This window comes from Homo sapiens, chromosome 17, assembly GCF_000001405.40.
Source record: "Homo sapiens chromosome 17, GRCh38.p14 Primary Assembly".
Taxonomy (NCBI): domain Eukaryota; kingdom Metazoa; phylum Chordata; class Mammalia; order Primates; family Hominidae; genus Homo; species Homo sapiens.
In genome coordinates this window covers 6436976-6461223 of record NC_000017.11, presented here as the reverse complement: position 1 = coordinate 6461223, position 24248 = coordinate 6436976, and the positions used below count along the sequence as shown (strand labels likewise).

At 52.1% G+C, this 24248-nt stretch overlaps 2 protein-coding genes and 1 long non-coding RNA gene across 10 annotated transcripts in view, besides 11 other annotated features; 2 read left to right on the top strand and 1 right to left on the bottom strand.

Annotated features, from left to right (window-relative positions):
* The window catches only part of PITPNM3 (PITPNM family member 3), a 105293-nt gene extending 95332 nt beyond the window's left edge, over positions 1-9961 (top strand). For 2 of the 3 annotated variants that reach the window (NM_001165966.2, NM_031220.4), the window contains 2 exons: positions 3502-3630; positions 5581-9961. In NM_001165966.2, coding sequence (NP_001159438.1) covers positions 3502-3630; positions 5581-5886 — 435 coding nt within the window. In that variant the 3' untranslated portion in view covers positions 5887-9961. Of the gene's footprint in view, positions 1-255; positions 656-3501; positions 3631-5580 lie in introns of those variants that run through there. The other variant, XM_011524015.4, reaches the window with a different exon arrangement.
* Positions 2072-2853: an enhancer, noted in NCBI's record as "H3K4me1 hESC enhancer chr17:6361691-6362472 (GRCh37/hg19 assembly coordinates)". NCBI's record gives its function as "activates a minimal SCP1, AML or CMV promoter by ChIP-STARR-seq in primed H9 embryonic stem cells {active_cell/tissue: H9 hESC(primed)}" and the evidence as "EXISTENCE:reporter gene assay evidence [ECO:0000049][PMID:30033119]".
* Positions 2854-3635: an enhancer, noted in NCBI's record as "H3K4me1 hESC enhancer chr17:6360909-6361690 (GRCh37/hg19 assembly coordinates)". NCBI's record gives its function as "activates a minimal SCP1, AML or CMV promoter by ChIP-STARR-seq in primed H9 embryonic stem cells {active_cell/tissue: H9 hESC(primed)}" and the evidence as "EXISTENCE:reporter gene assay evidence [ECO:0000049][PMID:30033119]".
* Positions 5856-5985: a silencer, noted in NCBI's record as "silent region_8076". NCBI's record gives its function as "represses an Ori minimal core promoter by ATAC-STARR-seq in GM12878 lymphoblastoid cells {active_cell/tissue: GM12878}" and the evidence as "EXISTENCE:reporter gene assay evidence [ECO:0000049][PMID:35858748]".
* Positions 6006-6135: a silencer, noted in NCBI's record as "silent region_8075". NCBI's record gives its function as "represses an Ori minimal core promoter by ATAC-STARR-seq in GM12878 lymphoblastoid cells {active_cell/tissue: GM12878}" and the evidence as "EXISTENCE:reporter gene assay evidence [ECO:0000049][PMID:35858748]".
* Positions 6705-7423: an enhancer, noted in NCBI's record as "H3K27ac-H3K4me1 hESC enhancer chr17:6357121-6357839 (GRCh37/hg19 assembly coordinates)". NCBI's record gives its function as "activates a minimal SCP1, AML or CMV promoter by ChIP-STARR-seq in primed H9 embryonic stem cells {active_cell/tissue: H9 hESC(primed)}" and the evidence as "EXISTENCE:reporter gene assay evidence [ECO:0000049][PMID:30033119]".
* PIMREG (PICALM interacting mitotic regulator) lies at positions 9755-16769 on the bottom strand. Of its 6 annotated transcripts, NM_019013.3 has the most exons (6): positions 16736-16769; positions 15820-16148; positions 13466-13761; positions 11817-11912; positions 11152-11196; positions 9755-10862 (listed from the first exon to the last, which is right to left on the bottom strand). In NM_019013.3, exons 2-5 carry the CDS (start codon positions 16111-16113, stop codon positions 11166-11168), a joined length of 717 nt encoding a protein of 238 aa, NP_061886.2. In that variant the 5' UTR covers positions 16114-16148; positions 16736-16769; the 3' UTR covers positions 9755-10862; positions 11152-11165. The 6 variants fall into 6 exon arrangements, with proteins under 6 accessions (NP_061886.2, NP_001182157.1, XP_016880267.1 ...); NM_001195228.2 differs by lacking the exon at positions 11152-11196; XM_047436310.1 differs by having other exon boundaries at positions 10159-11520.
* LOC107985017 (uncharacterized) lies at positions 10793-23926 on the top strand. The gene is made up of 3 exons (XR_001752776.2): positions 10793-10898; positions 11890-12201; positions 23887-23926. It is a non-coding gene; the product is annotated as an uncharacterized LOC107985017 (long non-coding RNA).
* Positions 13107-13773: an enhancer, noted in NCBI's record as "H3K4me1 hESC enhancer chr17:6350771-6351437 (GRCh37/hg19 assembly coordinates)". NCBI's record gives its function as "activates a minimal SCP1, AML or CMV promoter by ChIP-STARR-seq in naive H9 embryonic stem cells {active_cell/tissue: H9 hESC(naive)}" and the evidence as "EXISTENCE:reporter gene assay evidence [ECO:0000049][PMID:30033119]".
* Positions 16520-16747: a silencer, noted in NCBI's record as "fragment chr17:6347797-6348024 (GRCh37/hg19 assembly coordinates)". NCBI's record gives its function as "represses an EF-1alpha promoter that drives an FKBP-Casp9 reporter gene in an ReSE screen in K562 erythroleukemia cells {active_cell/tissue: K562}" and the evidence as "EXISTENCE:reporter gene assay evidence [ECO:0000049][PMID:32094911]".
* Positions 16811-17389: an enhancer, noted in NCBI's record as "H3K27ac hESC enhancer chr17:6347155-6347733 (GRCh37/hg19 assembly coordinates)". NCBI's record gives its function as "activates a minimal SCP1, AML or CMV promoter by ChIP-STARR-seq in primed H9 embryonic stem cells {active_cell/tissue: H9 hESC(primed)}" and the evidence as "EXISTENCE:reporter gene assay evidence [ECO:0000049][PMID:30033119]".
* Positions 16811-17459: a biological region, named in NCBI's record as "H3K27ac hESC enhancer GRCh37_chr17:6347155-6347733".
* Positions 16830-17079: a silencer, noted in NCBI's record as "silent region_8074". NCBI's record gives its function as "represses an Ori minimal core promoter by ATAC-STARR-seq in GM12878 lymphoblastoid cells {active_cell/tissue: GM12878}" and the evidence as "EXISTENCE:reporter gene assay evidence [ECO:0000049][PMID:35858748]".
* Positions 17310-17459: a silencer, noted in NCBI's record as "silent region_8073". NCBI's record gives its function as "represses an Ori minimal core promoter by ATAC-STARR-seq in GM12878 lymphoblastoid cells {active_cell/tissue: GM12878}" and the evidence as "EXISTENCE:reporter gene assay evidence [ECO:0000049][PMID:35858748]".

Sequence of the window (24248 nt, the reverse complement as noted above, 5' to 3'; positions counted from 1 at the left end):
CCTGTGAGGTAGGTTATTAGTCTCGTCGTTGACAGAGGAGAAAGGTGAGGCTCCGGCAACTTGCCCTAGATCTGAGTCAGACTTTCGTCCTTTATCTCCTGACTCTTGTCTCTACATCTGGCCATTCATCCAATAGACATTTAAGTGCCGATTGTGTTCCTTACTCTGTGCTTGTTGGGGCTGCACAGAGACAAACAGAACCAGGGGGGCAGAGGATGTGCTTTCCGTGACCCGGATGTGCTTTCTGTGACCCAGATGTGCTTTCCATGACCGAAGCTATGGTTCCCACTAGCAGCACCAGGAAACTCGGAAACTCGGGAGAAGTGCAAATTATCTGCCCTGCCTCCTCCTGCCACCCTCTTAGACCTACTCAATCAGAAACTCTGGGGAGGGGCTCAGGAACCTTTTCACAAGCCCTCCAGGGGATTCTGATGCACAGAAAGATTAATCAAGAATCCCTGACCTAGAGCAGAAGAGGCGTTGACATATAATGACCAAACCCAGCCCACAGCCTGTTTTGATATGACTGGTCAGCTAAGAATGGTTTTTACACTTTCAAATGGATGGAGAGAATAATCAAAAGAATGATATTTCATGACATGCAAATTACATGAATTTCAATGTCTCTAAATAAAAAAAGTTTGATTGGAACACAGCCAAGCTCATCTGTCTACGTATTGTCTATGATTGCTTTTGCAATACAACAGCAGAATTGAGTAGTGGTGACACAGTGCGAAGCCTGATATATTTACTATCTGGCCTTTCAAAGAAAAAGTCTGCAAATCCCTGATCTAGAGGAGGAAGGACATGTCAATTGACAACTACTGGTGTGTGGTTGAAAAAGGCCCTTTTAGCAAACAGAGGAGAAAGGACTTCAGTTTGTCCAGGGAGGGCAGGGAAGGCTGCTAGGAGGTGGTAACTTTTGAGCTGAGTCTTGAAGCATGAATTTGTCAGGTAGACAGTGAAACAGCATGTGCAAAGGCACGGAGGCAGGAGAGAGCTTGGGACGTTCCAGGCTTGGGATAAGTGCAGGCAGGGTTAAACCCAGGACAAGTGGGAGCTGAGCCCTCAGAGGTCATCAGGGGCCCAAACTTGGCAAATCTTGAAAACCTTGGAAACCAGGCCAAGATCATAAATTCTCTGCTGAGGGTCACGGGGAGCCATGGAGGAGTTTAAAGCAGGGAAGTGGCAGTGTCTAATTTGGCTTATAGAAAGATCCCATTGGTGGCTGTGTGGAGAACAGATTGGCAGGAGAAACTGGAGGCAGGGAGGCCAGTTAGGGGGCTGTTGCCCAAGCAAAAGACAGGAAGACCATAATCCAGGCGATGATGGGTATGGGATGGAGAGAAAAACATGGACAGGATTAGGAGGTGGAATAGTCGGGGCTCAGGGATGGTTGGATGCAGGGAGCGAGGAGTTCTAAGATGCCCGTGCTGGGTGACCAGGAGGGATCCAGGTGCTACACACCTGACCAAGGTCTCCATGGAGGCAGAGCCTGTCCGTTCTGCTCACCAATATAGCTTCTGCATTGGGGGTGATGATGCCACATGGTAGGGACTCCATAAATGTTGGTAGAATGAATAAATGAATGAGTGAGTGAATGAGAGGGGACATGAGAGGAGGACCAGGCTGGAGGGAGATGAGCTCAGCTGTGGACATGTCAAGGCTGATACAGCCACGGGACCTGATATGGCTTAGGGTAGTTCTGGGCTGCAGGTGGAGACTGGGAAACAGATGCATGAGACGGATCAGTGGAGCCATGAGACGGGAGATGAGGCGTTAGAAGAGGCTGTGCTGGGCCACTGAGAGCAGCACAAGGAGCAGCTGAGGAACCAGGAGGAGAGTGAGGGGGAGGAGGACCAGGAGAGAGAGACGAGACTCCAGGTATCGGGAGGAGAGGGCTTCAAGGAGATAGCGCCCCTTTTGCCGAGGGTGTGGGATGCTGAGAACTGCCTAGTAGACAAAGACTGGCCACCAGATGACCTTGTGAGGAAAAGACAGTTCGGAAGGACAAGGGGGCAAAAGTAGCAGGGAGAGGAGCAGAGAAAGTGGGTGTCAGCTGGGAGGGTCATGAGGCAGGTAGGCAGGGTCGCCAGAGCTGGAGGATCCAAGTTATAGGAGTGAGCTCAGGTGAATGAGAAGGTGGAAGGGCCAGACGAAGAGGGGCTGCTCCATCCTCTGAGCCAAAGGCCAGTTGGGAATAAACCAACCATTGAGGTGAGGGGCAGTGGGCTGAGGAAGCCCTCTCCTTGGTCCAGCATCGAAGGCAGTCACCTGCAGGATGGGGTAGGGCTCAGGGAAGGACAGGAAGAAGATGGAAGGTGAGAGCTGCGTGGCTCTGTTTCTTTAGCAGCTCTCGGTGGGCAGCATGTACAAAAACACAAGGTGGATAGTGGAAAAAATTTCCAGGGCTGAGATTTGGCCGGGCAGGTGTGGGAGGAGGATGAAGGGGTGAGAGAATCCGGGGTGGAGGCAAGGACACAGGGATGCCATGGGTCACTCAGGCAGGATGAGGAAGGGGCGAGGCAGCAGGGCTGGTGCAGAAAAGACAAGTGTCAGTAAGGCTGAGAGCAGCCAGGTGGGGGCTGGCGGAGAAGTGGTGGGGAGGGGGCAGAAGCCCTGAGCGGAGCGGACATGTGGAAGTTCACAGTTAGAGGGGCAGGTTCTGAGTTTGGTCCTGGAAGTGACGGCCACTGACGTGAAAGAAGGTGCGAAGCTGCCAGGCCGGGTGGGAGGTGGTAGATCCTTCACGTCATGCAGACCGTGGGTCATCCCAGTGATGGTGGGGCTTGGCAGGAAGGAAAGCTTGTGACCCAGGACCAAAGTCTCCAATGGCTTGAGAGGAGTGTGAGTGGGAGAAAAAGAAGATGACAGTGACAGGAGGCACACAGTGAGGGGCAGCTGGGTGGCGAGCACCTCACAGGAGGAGGTAGTTTGATCGGGTTTATCCTGGGGAGGGGAGGGAAGGGTGATGGTCTGGAAGTGCCCCTGGAGCAAGACGGACCTTGTGCAGTTCTCTGAATTGAATTGGGGATTCTGGGGTTGGGGAGGGGGGCGGTCATCACACCAGCCAGTGAGAGGCAGTGGGCACATGGCAAGCTGCAGTGTGGAGCGGTGTGGACAGCACAGGATCAGGAGCCAGGCAGAACTGGCCTCCAGTCCTGGCCCTGTGAGCCAGAAACCTGGAACTCAATTTCCTTATCCACAAAGGAACGCTTGCCTTCATTATTACTTAACCTGAGTGTACTGCTGTTGGAGGCGGGGCCGGTAAATGGTGTGGTCACGACTGTTTACTGGGCAGAGACCTGGGTTGGGCCTGGGGTGCAGGGAGGGGCAGCCACTCTGAGGGTTCATTCCTGACACAGGGTGGCCCCATGGCTTGGAGTCTACCAGAGTGCACATAAAGGGTCCCCAAGCAGGGGCCCCCTGGGGTTGGCCTGGGAAGGCTTTCCAGGGGGTGGGCTGGCCTCACTCTCCCCCTATGCCTGCCCTGTGTTTCAGTGCTTCATCAAAATCAGTGCGGCCTATGGCTCCACGAAGGACATCTCTGTCTACAGCGTGCTGGGCCTGCCTGCCTCCCAGATCTTCATTGTGGGCCGGCCCACCAAGAAGTACCAAACCCAGTGCCAGGTGGGTGGAGGCGGGGCTGGAGGCGGGGAGTTGTGAGGGAGGTCAGGGAAAGGGATAGAGGGAGTAAGCACTTCATTCATTCATTCATTCATTTGTTCATTCCCCCATTTGCTCATTCATTTATTCAACAAACACTTCGGGGTGCCTGCCTTGGGCCAGGGCCTGTGTTGGGTGCAGGGGGAGAATCCCAAGTGGAGCCAGATGCAATGAACTTCAGTGTAGTGGCGAGATGGACACATTTGCAGTTGGTGACAGTGGAGTGTAACAAGTGCCATGATGTATGACGGGAGCACAGGGAACTGTGGGGCCCTGGAGAGGGACCGCTAACCCAGACTCCAGGGCAAGGTTGGGTTTCCGGAATTTGAAGGAATGGTCCAGGAAGGGCCTGAGATTGAGAAGAATATTTGTGACAGAGGCAGCAGCAAAAGCCAAGGTCAGGAGGTGACACAGAACATGTATATTCTGGGAACTGCCAGTGACTCAGCTTGGCTGCATGGGACGTGAGCTGGGAGGTGGGGGGGCGGGGCTAGAACGGTCAGTGCGGCCAAGATGGCCTGTGTGGGGACTCTGAGAGGGTGTGGGATGAGCAGGTGTGTGATTCAGGAAGCTCCCTCAGGCTGCAGGTGGCAGGTGGTTCAGAGGAAGGAAAGAAAAGCCGAGAGGACATTGAAGAGAAAGTGGAGGGTCTGAGAGGCATTTTTTGGTAGGGGATGGATTGGGTTTGGTAATGCCCAGATCAGATGTGCAGGATGAGAGAAAGGGAAGGTGGAGGACAGCTACTTGGTCTGTGGCTTGGGTGACCACGTAGGAGGTGCCACTATTGGAATCGCGCAGCAGGTGGAAGGGAAGGAGTTGACCTCCCTCTGGGGCATGTCAAGTGTGCAATGCCTGAGAGTGACCCGCGGGTAGAGGGTCAGGAGATGGTGGCGTCTCCCAGTTGGGAACTCAGAGGCCCTGCTTCTCAAACTCTGAAGTGCACAAGCATCACCTGGAGATCTTGTTGACATGCATATTCTGATTCCATAGGCCTAGGGGCGGGGAGAGGGCCGGAAGTTCTGCCTGACAAGGTGCCAGGTGGTGTTGATGCTGCCAGAGTCCATGGACCACATATTGAGTAGCAAGGCTCTGGACACAGCCAGAAGGACTGGCAAGGAGGGCAGTCGCAGGGCTCAGAAAAATGACAAGAGGCATGGTGAGGCTGCGTGACGGGAGGGACTTTGCAGGATTCTAGTGAGCCAAGTGACAAGGATGGGCGCTTCCCCACCCTCAAGAATCCAGAGGCCAAGCACCCTGGCTCATGCCTGTAATCCTGGTGCTTTGATACGCAGGATTGCTTGAGCCCAGGGTTCAAGGCCAGCCCTGGCAACATAGCAAGACGCTGTTTCTACAAAAAATTTAAAAAATGAGCTGGGCATGGTGGCATGTACCCGTGGTCCCAGTTACTCGGGAGGCTGAGGCTGGAGTATTGCTTGAGCTGGCGAAGTTGAGACTGCGGTGAGCTGAGACTGGGCTACTGCACTCCAGCCTGGGCGACACAGCGAGACCCTTTCTCAAATAAATAAATTAATTAATTAAAATAAAATAGGAAAGAAAATCCAGAGAACTCTGGTGTGACCCATGGGTACAGGTAGAGATGCATGGTTGTCCAAAGCAGGATGGGGACCCTGGAACAGTAAAGAGCTCCCGACTTCCCCAGGGTTCCTTGGAGAAGCTGGAGGTGCCTCCGTAGAGTGTTCCCGGGAAATGATGGGGACAGGATCAGGATAAGGGGCCTGCCCCACCCCTCCGCCTGATGCCTGTCCCTTCCCCTCCCCTCCTCTCCCTTCCCTTCTTCCGCTTCCCTTCTTCTCCCTCCCCTCCCCTCCCCTCCCCTCTTCCCCCTCCCCTCCCTTCTTCCCCCTGCGCTGCTGCCCTGCCCTGCCCTCCCCTGCCCTCCCCTGCCCTCCGCAGTTCCTGAGCGAGGGCTACGCCGCACACCTGGCCGCGCTGGAGGCCAGCCACCGCTCACGCCCAAAGAAGAACAACTCGCGCATGATCCTGCGCAAGGGCAGCTTCGGGCTGCACGCGCAGCCAGAGTTCCTGCGGAAGCGCAACCACCTGCGCAGAACCATGTCAGTGCAGCAGCCCGACCCGCCCGCCGCCAACCCCAAGCCCGAGCGGGCCCAGAGCCAGCCCGAGTCGGACAAAGACCACGAGCGGCCGCTGCCGGCGCTCAGCTGGGCGCGTGGGCCCCCCAAGTTCGAGTCGGTGCCCTGAGGGGTGGGCTGTGCTCAGAGCAGGGAGCGGGGGGCCCAATCAGGCTGCCTGCGGGGACGGGAGGGGGCTGCCCTCTCCCCGACACAGGCGTTTTCCTGCTTTTTCCCTCCCGTGTCTGTCCAGCAGTGTCCGACCAGAGCGGGGAGGGATCCTGCCCGAGCCCGGGGGGCTCCCTGAGCTGCGACGGGGTGAGGTCCGGGGATCTCGGTGCAGCCACTGCTGCCTCCCACGGGCCTGCGACCGCAAGCCCAAGTCAGGGTTCATGTTTGTGTCATCCTGGGGGCAGGCTTGCCCGGGGCTGAAGCGTTTGGGCAAAGTCGACCACCCTCCTGCGTCCCCAGGCTTCACAGCGAGCTAGGCAGGCCCTCAAGGGGGCAGCCCCAGCCTCGGCACCAAGCGCCGCTGGCAGGCACAGCCTCTGGGCTGTCTTGTGGAGGTGTGAGTGGCATTTGTGCCCGCCCTTCCTGTGGTTTGGGTCACCATTTTGGGGTTGGCGCTCTTATGGCAAGATGGCCACTTTCTGGGAGTGAGAGCACATCCCCGGGCTCATGTTACGCCGTCTCTGTCCACAGCCCTCGGGGGTGGGGTCTGGTGCTGACGGTCTGTCCTGCAGCTGTCCATTGTCCCCAACCCCCGTTGTCCTCAGTGTCCTCACCATTTCCCTGTGGCCCTGGAGGCCAGGGCTTCCTCTTCCCGGAGCCCTGCCTCATGCCCTCCCTTGGGAGGCTGCAGCCTTGGGCTCTGGCTCAGCTGGGCTGGCTGTGAGCCCCTGAGCTGGTTGCTTGCCCTCTCTGGGCTCCGTCTTCCTTCTGTTATTGGAGGGGTCCCCCTAGCTGAGATTGGTGTGAGTCTTTGACTCCCAAGATGTCCTGCAGTTTGGCCCATTGAGGCTCTTCAGGCCTAAGGGTCCCTCCGAGTGTCCTGTGACCCACACCTTTCACACAGCCTGGGAGAGGGGGTCTGGGTGGGCTGGAAAGGAGGGGCTCTTAAAGGAGCCTCTCTGGGTGGGCTGGGAAGGGATCCCTACTCCACGGAGAGGTGCAGCTGGTTTGCCTTGCACTGCGTGTCCCAGGGACAACCCACTCAAACTGGGTGTCCTAGGGACAACCCACCTCCCTCTCCTGCCAAAAGGTTACTGATTGGGCTCCCCATAACCCCAGCTCTGCCAGGACCCTTTTATCCTTTTTGGCTCCCAGAGGCATAGAGCTGAGATTCCAGGGTTCTAGGGGTTCCTGGAAGTTTGGCTCCAACTGTTGTATTCTCTTCCCTTTCCCCTGCTGCTCAGTTTGTGCCCATAACCTCCTCCTGGGTAGTCCCCTGAGGTTGGCAGGACTTGGCCCTTCTGGGGCCCCTAAAGCCTGCTCAGGCCCTCCTGCTGCTGAACCTTGGCCTGGGCACTGCTTTCCTGCATCCTGGAAAACCCCGACTCCCTGGCCCAGGCCCACACCTGCTGTGTGGGGCTGCCCACGTGGCCACTGAGCCCCCATAGGCTGCCATCAAGGCCGGTCCCAGCAATTTCAGCCAGGCTGCCCCAGGGCCCAGACGTCTGTATACACAGCAGGCACCTGTGTCAGCTCAGTGTCGCTTCTGCTCAATGTCTACCTCTCGCGGCTCCCATGCAGCCAGTGACGCTGCTGGTGGGGGCGGCTGGCACCGCCGTTGTGAATTGCCTGGCAAATTGGGTGCCCTCCTGGGGCTGGAGGGGTCTGGGCTCCTAACCCCCATCCCTGCTCTCCCCACTAGAAATGTGTCTTCAGTCTGCCAGCTCTTCTGCTCTACTTCCAGTGCTGCATCCTGCACTCAAGCCCAGGGCTGCTGGCGAGTCTATGGGGAGGAGTGCGGATCAGGCTCAGCCTCAGCCTCAGCCTCAGCCTCCTCTATGGTCCTGTCTCCTGGCGGTTCACAGGTGCCCATCCCCCCTTTAACATTTCACAGTTCTTGGCTTTCCAAAGGCACCAGCTCATATGGCATAGCCACCCCAACCCTAATCCTTCCCCCAAATATCCTGATTTAAACTTGGGCAGACTTAGTCTGATTCTTGAAAACTCTACCATCTCCTTCTTGCAGAAGGCACTGGTTACACTAAAATGATAAAATAATTAGTATGGGGTACTTTGCTCCCAGTTACATTCCCTCTTCCCTGAGAACCCCAGGCTAGGCGAGAGAGGGAGAGGGAGAGAGAAAGAGAGAGAGGGAGAGAGAGAGAGAGAGAGGGAGAGAGAAAGAGAGAGAGAAAGAAAGGAAGACAGAGGAAAGAAAGGAAGACAGAGAGAGGAAGGCAGAGAGAGAGAGGGAGAAAGAAAGACAGGAAGGCAGAGAGAGAGAGAGAGAGAGAAAGGAAGACAGAGAGAGAGAGAGAGGAAGAGAGAGAGAGAGAGGAAGAGAGAGAGAGAGCTCATGAGCCAGGATCCCTGGGGAATTTGAAGTCAGTGTGACCAGGGTTCTGTGGCTCTGGGGTCAGAGCTGGGACACAGGACCCAGCAGGAGGGCCACCACCCCTTCCTTTTGGAAACAGCTCTGGTTCCAAGCAGCAATCAGGTAGGAGGATCGGGGCTTTGGCTGATGATGCACACACAAGATGCTGATGGTGTACGGTGAGATATTGTGAACGCAACAACTGGAGCTGTAGTTGGCGTGTGTGAGTGTGTACCTGCGGTTCTGTTTAGTGGCGAGACAAGGTATGTTTCAGTACTGCTTTCACGGCAACTGTGTAATGCATATGCTCTTTCTACACTAGCGGTTTGCTCAGTTTTGTCTGTCCGGTTAAGTTGGAGAAAGAACCAAGTTGTGTTGTTCTCTGGAGGGGGTGCTGCTGCCTCTCCTTGAGTAGTTCTGTGACCCCCAATCCAGCTGTTTTGTAGAGAATCCTTCTAGCTTCTGGTATGCCTGCTCTCCAGCAGCTGGAAACAGATCTTCCTGCCTGACCAAAGCTCCTTGTTTCTTGCGTGGCATGTTTGTTCTTCCCGATCCGGTGGCTGTCGTAGCCGAGGGCCTGCCTGCCACCTTCCTTTATCATTTGCCCTGTTGGGGTTCAGGGTGCATCCTTAGCCCAGGACCTGCTCTTCCAGCATCATGGGTTTTTTCCTAAAGATCTCAACGGCTCCCTTGGGCTCCATAAAATATTTCTTTTTTAAAAAAGCAGACTCCTTTCATGCATTGGGATGAACGGCCCTCTTGTCTGGGTGCTGGGCTACAGCAAACAAATGTGTTTGAATCCCAGTATTCCAGAGATTCCTGGCGGTGGGCTGTCTAGAAGAGGCGAGGCTGGATCTCACGGTTTTTAAACTGTATTTTTACCCCTTTGGGACCCATACCTGTGCCCTGGAGTCTTTCATGAGGCACGTGGGTCCTCTGCATCCTCACTCTCCCCCCTAGCCCAGGTGCAGCCCCGGGAGGGGTGCCCTGACCCCGCCTTAAACAACCAACTTTCCCACCGAATCCCATCGGCGGGCGGGGGGGGGGGGTTTGGGTGCCAAGTGCCCTGGAAACCTATTGTCTTTTGGCTCAGCCAAAAGAAACATTCCCTCCTTCCTTTCCTTCCGGGCTTGGGGGAAACCTTCGTAAAAATCATAGTTAGGGTTAAGTCCAAGCAGTGAGGCCTGACCTGGGCTCTGCTCTCCTTGTTGAGACACTAACAGGCAGTTGGGAGGAAAATCTGCATTTGACTCCACCCTCTTTGGGGCAAAGGAGAAACAGGTGACCCGAGGGGGGGCAGGCCAGAGGAGGGCGACTCGTGCACAGGGACCCCCACCCTTGGACCCCGCTGTCCTTTTCTAGTTGTTTACTTGGTGGTGGCAGCCAGTCTGACCTTGTCTGTGGTCTGACTGTTCCTAAGTGTGTAACTTTCAGTATTATCTGTGACAGATGGTTCTGTGGTGAAAAAGGTTTATTATATTCCTTATGGCTGCCTTGTACAAAATCCGTTAGAAACGCTAATGTAAGATATCAGATTTCTAACAAGACAAAAACAGCATTATGGAGTTAAAAGATTTTTACAACTGGGTCTTGATTTTGATGTGAGCTGGTTTTTAGCTCTCAAATGTTGTCACTTAAATAAAAACCTTCTTTGCCTTTACAATGTGTTTTGGTCTGAACTAAGTTGAGAAACCTTTCCCTTTCTACATGTTCTCCCTGGGGTGGGATTGGGGGCAGACTGGCTCGGAGCAGAGGTGGATGAGGGCCAGACCCCAAACCACAAATTACAAATCTATAGCCCAGAGTGGTGTGGGAGGGCGGGGGAGGTTGGAGGTTGCCGGTGAAAGGGAACAGATGTCAAATGCAAATAGTCTTTATTATGAGAAAGCAGTGTTATCTAGGAAAGTCACACGCTGGTTTCTTTCTAATAAAATGACAAAGCAGGTTTCTTAAATAATTTACAAAGGGCAGAAATTGCTCTTGAACAGGGCTACCCCTCCTGGCACATCCACAGTGCTCTGCACTGAGCATATAAATAGGTACCCGTGAGCCCAGGGTCGTAAGCCTGGAAATATCTCCTATGCCTTCCTCCGAGTCCCTGGTAGGGAAAGGAGGGATGAGAGTGGGGCCCTCAAGAGCCTTGGCACCAGAAACACAGTGGGTGAGTGACTCTGCGGATGACTCCCCAAAAACCAGGCACCCGGGTACAGAGCTAAGAGCTCTCAAATATCTGATGCTAGCACTTCATGTTATAGATGAGGCAAATAGAAGGCTCAAGGTCAAGTGTACGATGAGTTTCTAAGCTCAAGAGTCCCCTAGGAAAGCAGAAGGAACAATTCTCCCCCTCTGCAAGGTCTCCCCAAGACACTCTCAGGCTATGGCAGGCAGTCACTGATGGGTCCAGATGTGGCTGGAGCAGGGGGCTCTGGGCCCCTTGTTAGGTGCTTGTTAGCAGTGGCCCAGGGGTACTGACGACTCCCGGGGGTTTTTTCCAGGAAGCTCACGGGGAAGCATAGACATCCTTGAGTATGAAGCCTTGGCGGTCAGACAGGGCTTGTTTCCTTCAAGACAGAGCTGCCTTTTTCACTGTGCTCAAGGTAGGAGAAGTAGGGATGCCTTTCCCTGCTCACTGCGGGGTGGGGGGTGCTGGAAGGTGGCTGTAGCTACTTGGGGCCCCCAGCGTGCTGTTAATGACGGGGTCAGTGAGGTTAGCAGCTCTGGCTTCAAGCGGCAAGTAGGTACTACCTACTCTGCTGTGCCCATCAGCTCTGTGGGCTTTTTCTTTAACTTGCTCATGCATGAGATGGAGGAGAAGGACAGTGAGAAAGACTCTTGGGAGGTGGGCATTACCTGCAGGCACTTCCTCAGTCATGAATGAGAGAGACGATGTCACCACTAGAGAGAAGGGGAGGGATTGATGCCACTGGGTGTGGTGGGCTCTGAGAGGGCCCTCCCAGCCTGAGCTACACAAGATCAGACCCGGAAATGTGGTAGGAATATGGCCCCTCAACACATAGAGCTGGCAGGGCCCAGCCTTAGAGCCCATCATGGCCATTATACAAGTGGAATGGGGAAACAGCCCCAAGTTAGGGGAGGTCCACAACCGAGGCCCTGCCCCCAGGATGGGGCCATGAGCAGACAGACCAGGAACTCCATAGCAGTCAGGTTGCTTTTCCCAATTCCATAGGCAGGCAGGGCACAGACGAGCCACGGAGAGTTCTGGAGGAAGGGCAGGTTTTTCAGGAACCAGCCACACGTGAGGTTCCAAGTGATGGACAAACATGGGGTCCCAAGGCCCAGAAGACCACACACATTCAGGCTACATCCTTTACCATCACCCCAGTCCAGGATTTTGTCCTTTCTCATGTTTGAGATGAGGGAGACTGAGGCCCAGAGAGGGGCAGAGACTGGCCAGGGTCACACAGCAGGTCAGAGCAGAACCAACGCCTGCCTACAAAGATGGCTGGAGGGGCCCTCCCGGCCCCTTCACTTTGAAGCATGGGATGCCAACTCACCTCTCTTCCGCCATAATGGCTTCATCTAGCTCTTGGGACAGCTTCTGGAGATGCTGAATTCCCGCCCCCACAGGCTCTAGGTCACTGTCAGACTCGCTGCATGAAAGAAAAAGCCACACCAGTGACTAGTTGGAAACTCCCGGCAGGAGACCCTTGCAACCCGGTACCGGGGTGTGGTCTGTGGGCCCAGATGACCCTGGCGGGCTGGGCTTCACTCCAGACCCTCACTCCAGGAGGTGACCTCAGAGCGACAAACAGAGAGAAGATCAAGATCCACGAGGCCAAGGTCACGGGCAAGTGATTTTGCAGCTTCCCCACTTGGAAACTGAGCCTCAGCTCTCCAGGTGGCTTCAAAACTTGCTTCTGGGCTCACTAGGAGGCTTGGGTGAGTGTGATTGTGTCAGAACTAAACTCAGCTCTTCCTTTACGGACAGAGAAACTAAGGTCCTAAAGGATTTTCTCAGGTCCCCTGCTGGCTCTGGACGCGGAACCGGGTCAGAATACAGATGTGGAGAGTATTTTTGAAGTGTACACAAGCCTTATTTTAGCTTACAGGTTTGCAAAGAGCCACCTGGTCACTTACATGCATCCTGGTGACTACCTGCCACAACACAGGTGCAGCGGCTAGGCAGCCTTCCCTGAGAGCTCCGAGATGGGACCAGGAAACTGCCAGGGACTGCCGATTGGGATGAGCTTCACCCCCTGCCCTGAGCCAGGCCACTTTCTGGGCCTGTCTGAGAACTAGAAGATTCTGCAAGGCAGGCCAGCTTGATCGGTGGGGCAGAACATCCAGATGATCTGGACCCCAGCCTTTACTCCTCTATTTCTTACAGGATGACCCTCAGGCTAATCACCAAACCCCTCCGGACCTCCGTTTCCTTACCTGTCAAATGGGACAAACAGAGCCTGCCTTAATTACAGCTCAAAGTTCCTATTAGGCTAAAGAAAGATGCTAGCCCTCAAAGAAATCTGGGGAAAAATTCAACAGCCCTAAGCTACTATGCAGCCTTAACTAACACACTCCATTTCCCCCTAGAACTCAGCCGGAAAGTTGAAATACAATCCTTAGGAATCTAGTTGTTGTTTTGTTTTCTTTCTCTCTCTCTTTTTTTTTTTTTTTTTTTTGAGACAGGGTCTGGCTCTGTGGCCCTGGCTGGAGTGCAGTGGCGCGATCTCAGCTCAATGCAACTTCCACCTCCCGAGTTCAAGCGATTCTCCTGCCTCAACCTCCCAAGGAGCTGGGATTACAGGCGTGCACCACCACGCCCAGCCAATTTTGTATTTTTAGTAGAGATGAGGTTTCACCATGTTGGCCAGACTGGTCTCCAACTCCTGACCTCAGGTGATCCACCCGCCTCGGCCTCCCAAAGTGCTGGGATTACAGGTGTGAGCCACTGCGCCCAGCCTGTTTTCTCATTTTCTGATGAGCAAATACATGCACTGGATATCTGCTAAAGCAGGACACACATTTAACAGTAAGAATAATAATAATACAATATGACGCTGCTCAGGGTGCCCCTGGCTCCAGGTAGCCACAGGGGGTGCCAAGAAACCCCTAGGGCCCAGTTGGTGTCTGGGAGGTCAGACAGCAGGGATTGTGCCCAGGTTAAAAGGCCACCAGCCCCGGGGTGAAGCACTATCCCACTTGCCTGGGAGAGCAGAGGGGCTCTGTTGAGGAGTAGGGGCTCCGGAAGGCAGCCTCCCGCCTTGATCGCCGTAATGGGTGGGCATGTGAGCCCATCCGGACAGAGAGGCGGTGATGCTCCTTCTCCCAGGGGTCTGCGGCTGAGTGGGCAGGGGCGGCTCCAGACAGCCGGGTGCTCTTCTGGCTCAGGCTGTGAGTTGGGGATCCACTGCCCTTCTGTGCTCCTCTCTTCCGCCTCCTGGCCTTCACCTGGGTCTCCACCAGCCACTTGGTGCCACTTTGGCAGGACTCCTGGATTCTCTGGAACAGGCAAATGGAAAGGTTAGCACAGACAAAACCAAAAGTTAGGCCGGGCGCGGTGGCTCACGCCTATAATCCCAGTACTTTGGGAGGCCGAGGCAGGCAGATCACCTGAGGTCAGGATTTTGAGACCAGCCTGGCCAACATGGTGTAACCCCATTTCTACTAAAAATGCAAAAAAAAATTAGCCAGGCGCGGTGGCGGGTGCCTGTAATCCCAGCTACTTGGGTGGCTGAGGCATGAGAGTCGCTTGAACCCGGGAGGCGGAGGTTGCAGTGAGCCGAGATCGCACCATGGCACTCCAGCCTGGGCGACAGAGTGAGACCCTGTCTCGAAAACAAACAAACAACAACAAAAAAAAAAACCAAGGGTGAGCTACCTTGGTCTCCAGACCATACAAGCAACCCCTACACTCAGCAAGTGTCCTGTAAATACAGGCTATTGTTAGTCTCCAGGGTGAAGGATGTGAATGACTCCTCATGGAATGAGTCCACGGCTGGGACCCAGCTCAGAGCTCTTGGATATGACAGCAGCAGTCAGCCGCAGGAGGACCCCCCTGGTGCCTGGAGCCTGTTTGTCTAAGTCCAAACTCTCTTTCCAGACAGACGGTGACCCCAGGACTGAAGGAGAGGGCCCCAAAAGAACAGGCCACCCCGCCCAGCACCCCCTGTACACCAAGAGAGCACCTGTCTTCTTGCCTCGGGTCTCACTCACTCTATCCACCCTCCACAGTGGTCCATAGTGATCCTTCTAAAGGGCAGTTCTGACCGTGACACTCAACTGCTCAAAACTCTTCTGTGGCTTCTTGTTGCCCATAGGACCAAGCCCCAACTCTTGGGCCTTTCACACCAGCCGGGTGACAGCCGTGAAGGCTCTTCTTCATCAGCTAGACTGTCTTTGCCTTGACAAGCCAGAGCCCAGTGTTTGGAGCGAAGCCCAAGTTAAATTTGATGAGTTATGTGACCTTGGACAAATTCATTTCATTTCTCTGATCCCTGAGGGTGGTGAAAACAATCAAAAAGTGCTTCCAAATAAGGACTAACATTTGGCTCAGAGAGCTCTCTGCAGAGGGTCCAGAAAGAGCCACCCACTTTCTGGAGAATTCTTTCATCTTCAGAATTCCCAATGAGACACCGAGGAGAAGCCTCTGCAGCCCCCAATCCTCTCCCTGGAGGTCTGTTCATCCTAATGGCTTCTGTCCTTTCTAAGTGACACGTCTACACCTCCAGCTCTGGGTTTAAAGATGCATCCCTTGAAGGGTCCACAGACACTTACATCCAATATAAGGACGTCTTCCTGACAGCAGCTCTCATTTGACAGCAAATCCCCTCTAACTGGACCTTCTCGGCAGCTCCTGAAGTTTATCCCCTGCAAGTCCAAACCCTTAGTCTCCATCAGGAGCATCTCTGCCTCTATTCCCTTCTCCATCATGTAGCTAAAGGGCAAATTCTAATATGCTAATTAGACCAGACTTTCCACTGTTTAGAATCTTCCGGACTCCTGATCATTCCTGGGAGAGTTCTAAGCTCCTTCATATCCTTTCCCCCTGCTCTACCTTGCTCTCTGTCATCTGTTCATACCCAGACTACAATTCTGGCTCTCCTCAGGGATACACAGCTGAGTGGGCAGTACACCTTGCTTTCCCTCAGCTCTAGGCCTGGACTTGCACTATTTCCCCTACCCTAAATACCCCTTGACCTTTGCTTCCCTGGGTGAACTCTGGAATCACCTCCTCTGGGAAGCCTTCACCGACTAAGCTTGCATTTGGTGAGCCTCACTATTGGTCACTTGCTTTGCAATTTCCTATCACGTACAGCTCTTATCACCTGGTATTGTGAGCATCTGTTTCCTCCAAGACATGCTTTCATTCACTCATTCAACTATTTGTTGAGCACCTATATGTGCCAGGAACTATCTGGGGTGGTGGGGAAACAGCAGTGAACTAACCAACGTCCCTGTTTTCATGAAGTCTATATTCTTGAGGCTCTTTGAGGGCAGGAACTGCCTGGCACCAAGGAAACACTCCATAAAAAAGATGATTAGTGTTGTCAGTATTACCTGGGACACGGCACCCAAAGCACTCTTAGCTGAGCGAGCTGCAGCCTGGAGGCCCTGCTGACCTGGCTCTGGGGTTTCCAGGCGTTTCCAGGAGGGCCCTGCGCGGAGGTTGAGGTTGACGGCTCTCAGGGGCAGCCTCCTTTGGAACTGTCTGCACAGGGACCCCAGGGCCCCTACAGAGGTCTCCTGATGGCTGACCACAGGCTGCAGCTCCTTGCTGTCCTCCAGCTGCTCCTGGTGCTGGAGAGATCTCCGGCGCACGGAGGTCCCCATGTTCTGCCACCGAGAAGCCATCTGCCTGGCCAAGAGTCTTCTCTGTCCACTAGACCCTGGGGAGGAGGGCGAAAGGCAGATCAGCAAGGCATTCCCCATACCCATTCCCAGGCCCCACAGAGACCCTGGACACAGGGGAAGAGACGGGATGCAGCGGGGTGGCGGGGGCGGGCGAGTTGGTAAGTGTGGGTGCAGGAAGGAGGATGCTTCCTGGAAGAGGGGCCTCGGGTCAGCAGCATTTCTGATGTCCCGCCCTTCAAGTTTCCAAAACAGCTGTCTTTTCATCCCAACCTCCTTCCTCTCTCTGGCTCAGGCGAGGAGGGGAGGCAGGGTCAAGACACGCCGTAGCCGAGCTTCAGCGCTGGGCCCAGGACACGATCACCATCTTCTTCACCAGCTCGCCCAGACCAAACGCGCACCCGCCCAGACCCCGGCCTTCCCACCAGACGCCCCGATTTCGATCCGACTTCTTGTGGTACCCAGACGACCCCACAGGCCGTGCGTGTCCGAACCTGATGCCCTCCCCTGTGAACAGAACCTGATGCCCTCCCCTCCGAACAAAAAAATTGTTTTGAGTCCAGATCGCGCCATTGCACTCCAGCCTGGGCAACAAGGGCGAAACTTGTGCCCAGCCCGCACTCACCCGACACCACTAAGGCCGAGCACAGCCGCAGCACAGCTGCTCCTCGCCCACCGCAGCCGATTTGAAACTCTGCGCGGCTCCGCCCCCGGCCCCGTCCTCACAGCTGATTGGTTCCGTCCCCGCCCCCGCCACCGCCACCGCCCCGGGGATCCGATTGGCTCCCTCTCTCGCGGCTGCAAATGCTGCGCTTGGATTGGCCCGGCCGTGCCCATTCATCGCTCCGGCCCCCGCCCCGCCGCCAGCCTCGTGGCTCCGGGCTTTGTATCCTGCGTCCCGCTCGCGCCACTGCCCTTGCTAGCCCAGCCCCCGCGCATCGCACACCGGGTCCCCTCCCTGGAGCGCGCACAGGGTTCAGGCTGCTCTGACCCATGGGGTGGAGGCGGAGGTCCTGGGACCTAGGCCTCCTGGCTCAGGCCCCAGGCCCCAGGCCCGGCAGCGGGCAGAGACCCCTCTCATCCTGCCAAGGGGTCTGGCTTTTCCTTCTTGCTCAGTGGTTTTGTCAGAAGGAGCCAGGGACTGGCAGTGCAGAGCCCTGGGTTCCCAGAGACGTTTTCTTTCAAATTTCCCTCCTGACCCTCCCTTCCTGTGACAAGACACTGTCCCTCTCTGAGTTCCCCATACTCGCCATCCACGCTCCGCCCTCCCTAGAAAACGCGTCCCGGAAGCGGGGATAGACCAGAGTACCGGTCTGCCCTCCACCCGTCTACACCGGCTCCCCGCCCCCGCCTTGCCCCACGCATCCCTCCCTCTCTCCAGCGGAATGCCTGCCTCTCTTCTCCTTAGCATCCAAACAAATGCAGCCATTATAAAGCTCTCTCCAGCTCATCTTTCTCCTTTCGGTGACCTCAGAGCAGTGCTGCCCACTCCCCCGGCTGGTTTCTTTGTTACTTCTCCGCACAAGAGCCTGAGATGATGGCTTCTTGAGACTCTGTCTTCAGCCCTCTCCGTTTCTGGGTGGTCTCACCCACTCCTTTGGCCTCAGTGATTTCCAAGGAAAGGATGATGATAATGATTAACGTGTATATGGCACTTAGTATGCACAGGTACCGGTGTTGCAGTTTATTAACTTACTTGATCCTCTGCTATGGTTTGAATGTGTCCCTCAAATTTCACATGTTGGAAATGTAATGCCCAAATTCATATATCGGTGGCATTTTTTGTTTGTTTTTGAGACGGAATTTCACTCTTGTTGCCCAGGCTGGAGTGCAATGGCATGATCTCGGCTCACTGCAACCTCCGCCTCCCAGGTTCAAGCGATTCTCCTGCCTCAGCCTCCCTAGTAGCTGGGATTACAGGTGCCTGCCACCACGCCTAGCTAATTTTTTGTATTTTTAGTAGAGATGGGGTTTCACTATGTTGGCCAGGCTGGTCTCGAACTCCTGACCTTAGGCAATCCACCCGCCTCAGCCTCCCAAACTGCTGGGATTACAGACGTGAGCCACCGTTCCTGGCTATCGGTGGCATTTTTTAAGACATATAAATTGTTATTTATTCAAATTATAGAATATTATACAGCACTGAAAAATAAGCAAATTGTAGCCAGATGGTGTAACTTAAGTCAATCTCAGAAATATGTTAGATTAAAAAAAAGCAATATGCAGACAAACATAAAGTATGACACTGTATAAATTCAAACGCAAAAAAGCTCAACAATATGGTTTAGGAATATGCACATACATTTGTGGACAAAGCTATTATGGAAAGCAAAGGAATTGAAACACCAAAATAAAATAAGTCGTCGTTTTTGGAAGGGTGGCAGGAGAAGAGGATGTAATGAGGAAAGGGCTCAAAGGACTTCAAAGATAATGTTCCATTTTGTAGGCTGGGTGGTGGCCACATGGATGTTTACTTTCTTCTTTTTTATTTTTTTTCTTTTAGACAGGATCTTGCTCTGTTGTCCAGGCTGAGGTGCAGTGGTACAATCATAGCTCACTGCAGTCTCAACCTCCTGGGCTCAAGCAGTCCTCCTGCCTTGACCTCCCAGAGTGCTGGGATTACAAGCGTGAGCCACCTTGCCTAGTCTTTATTATTCTTTAAACCATATATGTAAGTAATTTTATACGTATCACTTTATAAATGCGTGTGTATACACATACCTGTACATATATTATTTTCTAAGTATGAGCTACTTTGTAATTTTCTTTAAAATTTTTTTTAAAATTGACAAGTAATAATTAAACATTTATGGGGCACATAGTGATGTTTTGATACATATAATGTAGAGTGATCAGATCTGGGTAATTGGCATATTCATCATCTCAAACATTATCGTTTTTCTGTGTTGGTAAGAGTCAATATCTTCCTTCTAGTTATTCGAAACTATATATTATTGTTCACTCTAGTCATTCCACAGTGCTATAGAATACTAAGCTTATTACTCCTATTTAGCTGTAACTTTGTGTCTTTTAACAAATCTCTCCTATTCCTTCCTTGCACCTACCATTCCCAACGTCCAGTATGTTGATGAGGTGAGGCCTTTGGGAGGTAATTAGCATTAGATAAGATCAAACAGATGGGGCCCCCATGATGGTACTGGTGGCTTTAAAAGAAGGGGAAGAGAGACCCGAGCTGACAGGCACGCTTTTGCCCTCTCACCATGCGATGCCTTCTGCCATGTTACAACACAGCAAGAAGGCCCTTACCAGATGCCAACCAGATGCCAGTGCTATGCTCTTGAACTTCCCATCCTCCAGACCATGAGCTAAGTGTCTTTTCTTTATAAATTATGCAGTCTGTGGTATTCAGATATAACAACAGAAAACGGACTGACATCTTCATTGTACCTACACTTGATGAGGAAGCTGAGAATACAGAATTTGGTAGGGCCCAAATTTCACTCAGTTAGTCTACACCAGGGCCAAGGGTTCAAACTTCATCAGTCTAGGGCTAGGGTCCCTGTGCCTAACCACCACACCACACTGCCTTCCTCAGCCCCTAACACCTCCACCCCCAGCTTGAGCCTCTCATCTGACATGTATAGCCAACTACCTCCTGGGTCTCATCTCCTCTTGAATGCTGCAGGCATCTTAGATAAACACACCCTAGCTGAAGTCACCCTGGTCTCCTCAATCCTCCTCCTCCCCCATATTCCCTCTTGCCTGTGATCCATTAAGCACTGTGCTAAAAAATGGGCCACAAAGGTCAACAAAACAGATACATTCCTTACTGTCATGGAGCTCAAATCTAGTGTGTGGGGAGACATAGACATGAAAGGATCAAATAACCAATAATCAGTTAATCAAAGAACTATGCAAAACTTATGTTATTGAAAGCTGAGACCTAGAGAATGAGTTAACCAGGCAACGAATGTGTGTGTGTGTGTGTGTGTGTGTGTGTGTGTGTGTGTGTGTGTGTGTGATCTTCTTGGCTCAGGGAACACCACGCTTAAGGAACCAGCATTCACTGTAAGAGACCCAGCACACACACACGTGAACTGAAACAAAAGTTTCATGAAACAATACTTGACTATGTGTGATATGACCTGAGATTTTATTTTTTATTTCATTTAAAAAAACCTTGATGGTTACAACCCACTATATTCATTCTACGAGTCACTAATGGAGTATGAGTTGTGGTTTGCAAAATATTGCTCTAGTTTGCCTGTCCATTTTGTTCACAGTGAAGTTGTTTATCAAGAGTCAGAAATGCTTGTTTTCAAACCTGTTTACAACAGTTGCATTTGTTACTGTAATTAAGGAATTTAACTGATGTCTTTTACCAGTGAAATCCAAGGGGGAAAAGAAAAAGTTGTTGTTTCTATGAAAACTAAGATGAAAGTGTGGGAAAGACTCCATGAAGGTGAAACATTTAGAAACAAGCCAAGTCTCTCAAACCGGAGTGTCTTATCACAATAGCCTCCCCAGTGCCTGTCATGTCACAGGCATCCGTAATAATAGCTTATATTTTTTGAGCCCTCACCATGTGTCAGACTCTCTGCTAAGGGCATTTACTTTCTTTATTCTTTTTTAATCCTCAAGCAATTCTATGAAGTAGGTACGTTTTTTATTTCCATTACAGATGACAAAAGTGAGATGCAGACAGGTGAAATATCTGGTCCAAGATTGTATGGGATGTCAGAACTGGAGCTTAAATCCAGTGACTGACTTCAAAGCCTGAATTCTTACCCTTAGATTACACAACTTTGTTAAGATCAGGGGTGAAACAATGAATGCATGCATGCATAAAGAGGCCCTCCCTGCTTGGAGCTTTCCACCATCTTCCCTCACTCAGAATGGTAACTGGCAGGCCAGGTTAATGAAGAACAGTCTCCATGGCAACAAGTAAAGGGGGAAGAAACATTTTCTTATGAATGGGAAGCCTTTCCCTTTTGCCTTGCGTGGAGTGGTGGCTGGAGGGAGGGAAGGAGGCTGTACTCAGGGGAAGGAGGCTCCTAGTCCAGAGGTCGGTACATTGGCTTCTGTTCTTGGTAAGGAGGAAAAACCAGTCACTTTTTCCTAGCAGAGGCTTTTGGAGGGGGAGGGAATCCAGCATCACCCTTGCCTCCGTTGGGGAGGGGGACAAACGAGGAGCTCCAGCCCTGCTCTCCAGGGGCTCTTTGTCCAAGAGCAAACATTCCACTAGTTTCCTTGACCTCCTGAAACTGTCAATCTGATGGAAGACATAGACATTAAACACATCATTGTAAACAATTACAATGGGGCAAAATAGCATGAATGTGCAGTGCTAGGGAGAAGTGACAGGGTATAAGGGGCATGGGGAGATTGACAGGAGCTGGAGGTCAGGGTAGTCTTCCCTGAATGTGTGGTGTTTGAAGTGAGGAGCTAGTGGGCCAGTGGTTGGGAGTCTGGAGCATTGCCAAGCGTTAGGACTGGGGAAAGCCTAGACAAAAAGGGTGGGGCTGAGATGAGGGGCTGAGGGTAGGGGATGGGGTGGCAAGAGACAGGGTCTGTAGGCCAGAGAAGGAGCTTAAAATTTGTCCTGAAGGTGGTGGCAACTCTTTGCTGAATTTGAAGAGGGCAGTAGGTTATTAGATTGGCATTTTAATAAAGTCCATGAGGAGACTGGTTTGGGAGCAGCTATGGTTTTAATGTGTCCCCCAAATTTCATCTGTTGGAAACCGAATCCTCAAATTCGTATGTTGATGATATTTATGGGTGGGACCTTTGGAGGGTCATTAGGATTAGATAATATTATCAGGGTAGGACCCTGTGATAGGATTGGAGGCTTTACAAGAAGAGGAATGGAGACCTGAGCTGATGTGCGTGCTCTTGTCCTCTCACCATGTGATGCCTTCCACCACGTTATGATGCAGCAAGAAGGCCCTCACCAGATGCCAGCACCATGCTCTTGGATTTCCCAGCATCCAGAACTATGAGCTAAATAAATGTCTTTTTTAAAAAAATAAATTATGCATTCTGTGGTGTTCAGTTATAATCACAGAAAATGAACTAAGACAGGGGGCAAAGGGTTTCTGGGGCATCAGTCTGTAGCCTGTGGCACAACTCCAGGCACAGACCAGGAGTGAATCCTCATTCTTCTCAGCAGGGAAACCAACCCCCCTGGCATCGGCTTCAACATCCCCTTTTCTTCTCGCCCCCACATCCCCCAATCAGCTACAGGCTACATCTATCAGTTCTACTGTTTAAACATCTCTGCAATGTGTGTGTGCCCTTCGACCCTCTACAAAGGGAAACAACAGAAACAGTGGGAGAGTTTTAAGAAGTGTGAGAAGAGACATGATTGGATCCTTTTCACTGTGAATTATATCACCGATAGAAAACTGCCTAAGACATAAAATCTAGTGTCATGAATACAGTGAGTCCTTACTTAATGCTGTCAATAGGTGTTTGAAAACTGACTTTAGGCCGGGCGTGGTGGCTCACGCCTGTAATCCCAGCACTTTGGGAGGCCAAGGTGGGTGGATCACCTGAGGTCAGGAGTTTGAGACCAGCCTGGCCAGTGGCCAATGTGATGAAACTCCGTATCCACTAAAAAAAAAAAAAAAAAAAAAAAAAAAAATAGCTGGGTGAAGTGGCAGGCACCTGTAATCCCAGCTACTTGGGAGGCTGAGGCAGGAGAATCACTTGAACCCAGGAGGTGGAGGTTGCAGTGAGTCAAGATCGCGCCATTGCACTCCAGCCTGGGTGACAAGAGCAAAGTTCCATCTCAGAAAAAAAAAAAAAAAAAGAAGACTGACTTTAAATGAAATGACATATAAGGAAACCACCTTTTTTTCTCATCAACATTATAATGAAATGATGACATTGATTGAAACGATGTTATTTGAGGACCTGATGTATGTCCTTTCATTTCAGACTGCAGTTTCCAAGAACCTAAAAGGACATTAAGTGAGGACTTACTGTACTTATAAAGCCAACACCCATGTAACCATCACCTAGGTCAAGGGTGAGCACTGCCAGCATCCCAGAAGCAGACACTTGCCACCCGCAAGTGACAAGTGTGTTCTTCCTGTCTCCTTAGACTTTTATGATAAATACTTTTATTTTCCTTTGTAGTTTTGATACGGCTCTGATGACTGGAGGAACTCCAGGGTTCTTGGTCTTGCTCCAATAGGATTAACAACACGAACATACGTGGAGTAGTTTTAAGGAGTGAAAAGTTTAATAGGCAAGAAAGAAGGAAGGAAGAAGAGAATAGCCCCCCCATACAGAGACAGAGGGGGGGGATTTGAACAAAGAGAAAACCCCCTGTTTAGGGTGAGGGTGGTGGGAAGTAGCTGCTTATATGAGGAGGCTGAGGAGGTGGTGTCTGATTTCCATAGGGCCCAGGGGATTGGTTTGACCAGGTGTGTCATTTACAAACCCCGCAAAACACCTGGCCTTCCCACCTTAGTCCTTTAATATGCAAATGTGGGTCGCTATGATGTTCTGAACACAAGGTGTTATCTGGAGGTGGCCACGACACTCGGTACACCTGGTGACAGGGAAAAGACAGCAGGAATCTCCATATGAGTGAACCCAGTTTCTAATGGCCAGCATTTGCATGTCAAGGTTTGCCAGCCTGGCCCTTTAAGCAGCCTTTTCTGTTAGAAAAGAGATGGTTTGGGGGCTTGTTTTTTATTGCAGGAAAATTTCCACCAAGAACCTTTACCCTTACTATCTGCCTAAAAATTATTTCTTAATAATTCCTGTATTAGTTTTACTAAGTATCCATTTTACCTATGCATGCAGACCTCTCTAGGTTGCCGTGTGGCTGGAGAAAGGATGGAAGAGAGAAGGGGAAGGTTTTCAGCAGCCTTCTGCCTTCCAGGGATGGAGACTGGACCCTTGGGGATCTGGCCAGGATTCCCTGGGCCTGACCAGTTGGCCCAGGTTTGGTCTCCTCTATGCCAATGACTCCTCACGGGAAGCAAGACTTTCATGAGTGCCGGATTTCAGGGTGCCATTCACTGCTGCAGCCCTCCCAACTTCCCCTGAGAAGGAGCAGGAGAGGTCAATTTTCTCATTTCAGTTGGGAAAATGCAGTTAGAGAAAACGAGAGACATCCAAGGCAACAAGGTCAGTAAATAGGAAAGGATCAGCCCTTTGAACTT

Excerpts from the sequence above, each read along its gene's own strand:
- PIMREG (NM_001195228.2), bottom strand. The coding sequence starts at position 16,113 with ATGGCTTCTCGGTGGCAGAACATGGGGACCTCCGTGCGCCGGAGATCT. Across the intron at positions 13,762-15,819 it reads CTTTGGGTGCCGTGTCCCAG|AGAATCCAGGAGTCCTGCCA; the intron begins GTAATACTGACA and ends TGCCTGTTCCAG. Across the intron at positions 11,913-13,465 it reads GAGCCCCTCTGCTCTCCCAG|CGAGTCTGACAGTGACCTAG; the intron begins GCAAGTGGGATA and ends TCTTTCATGCAG.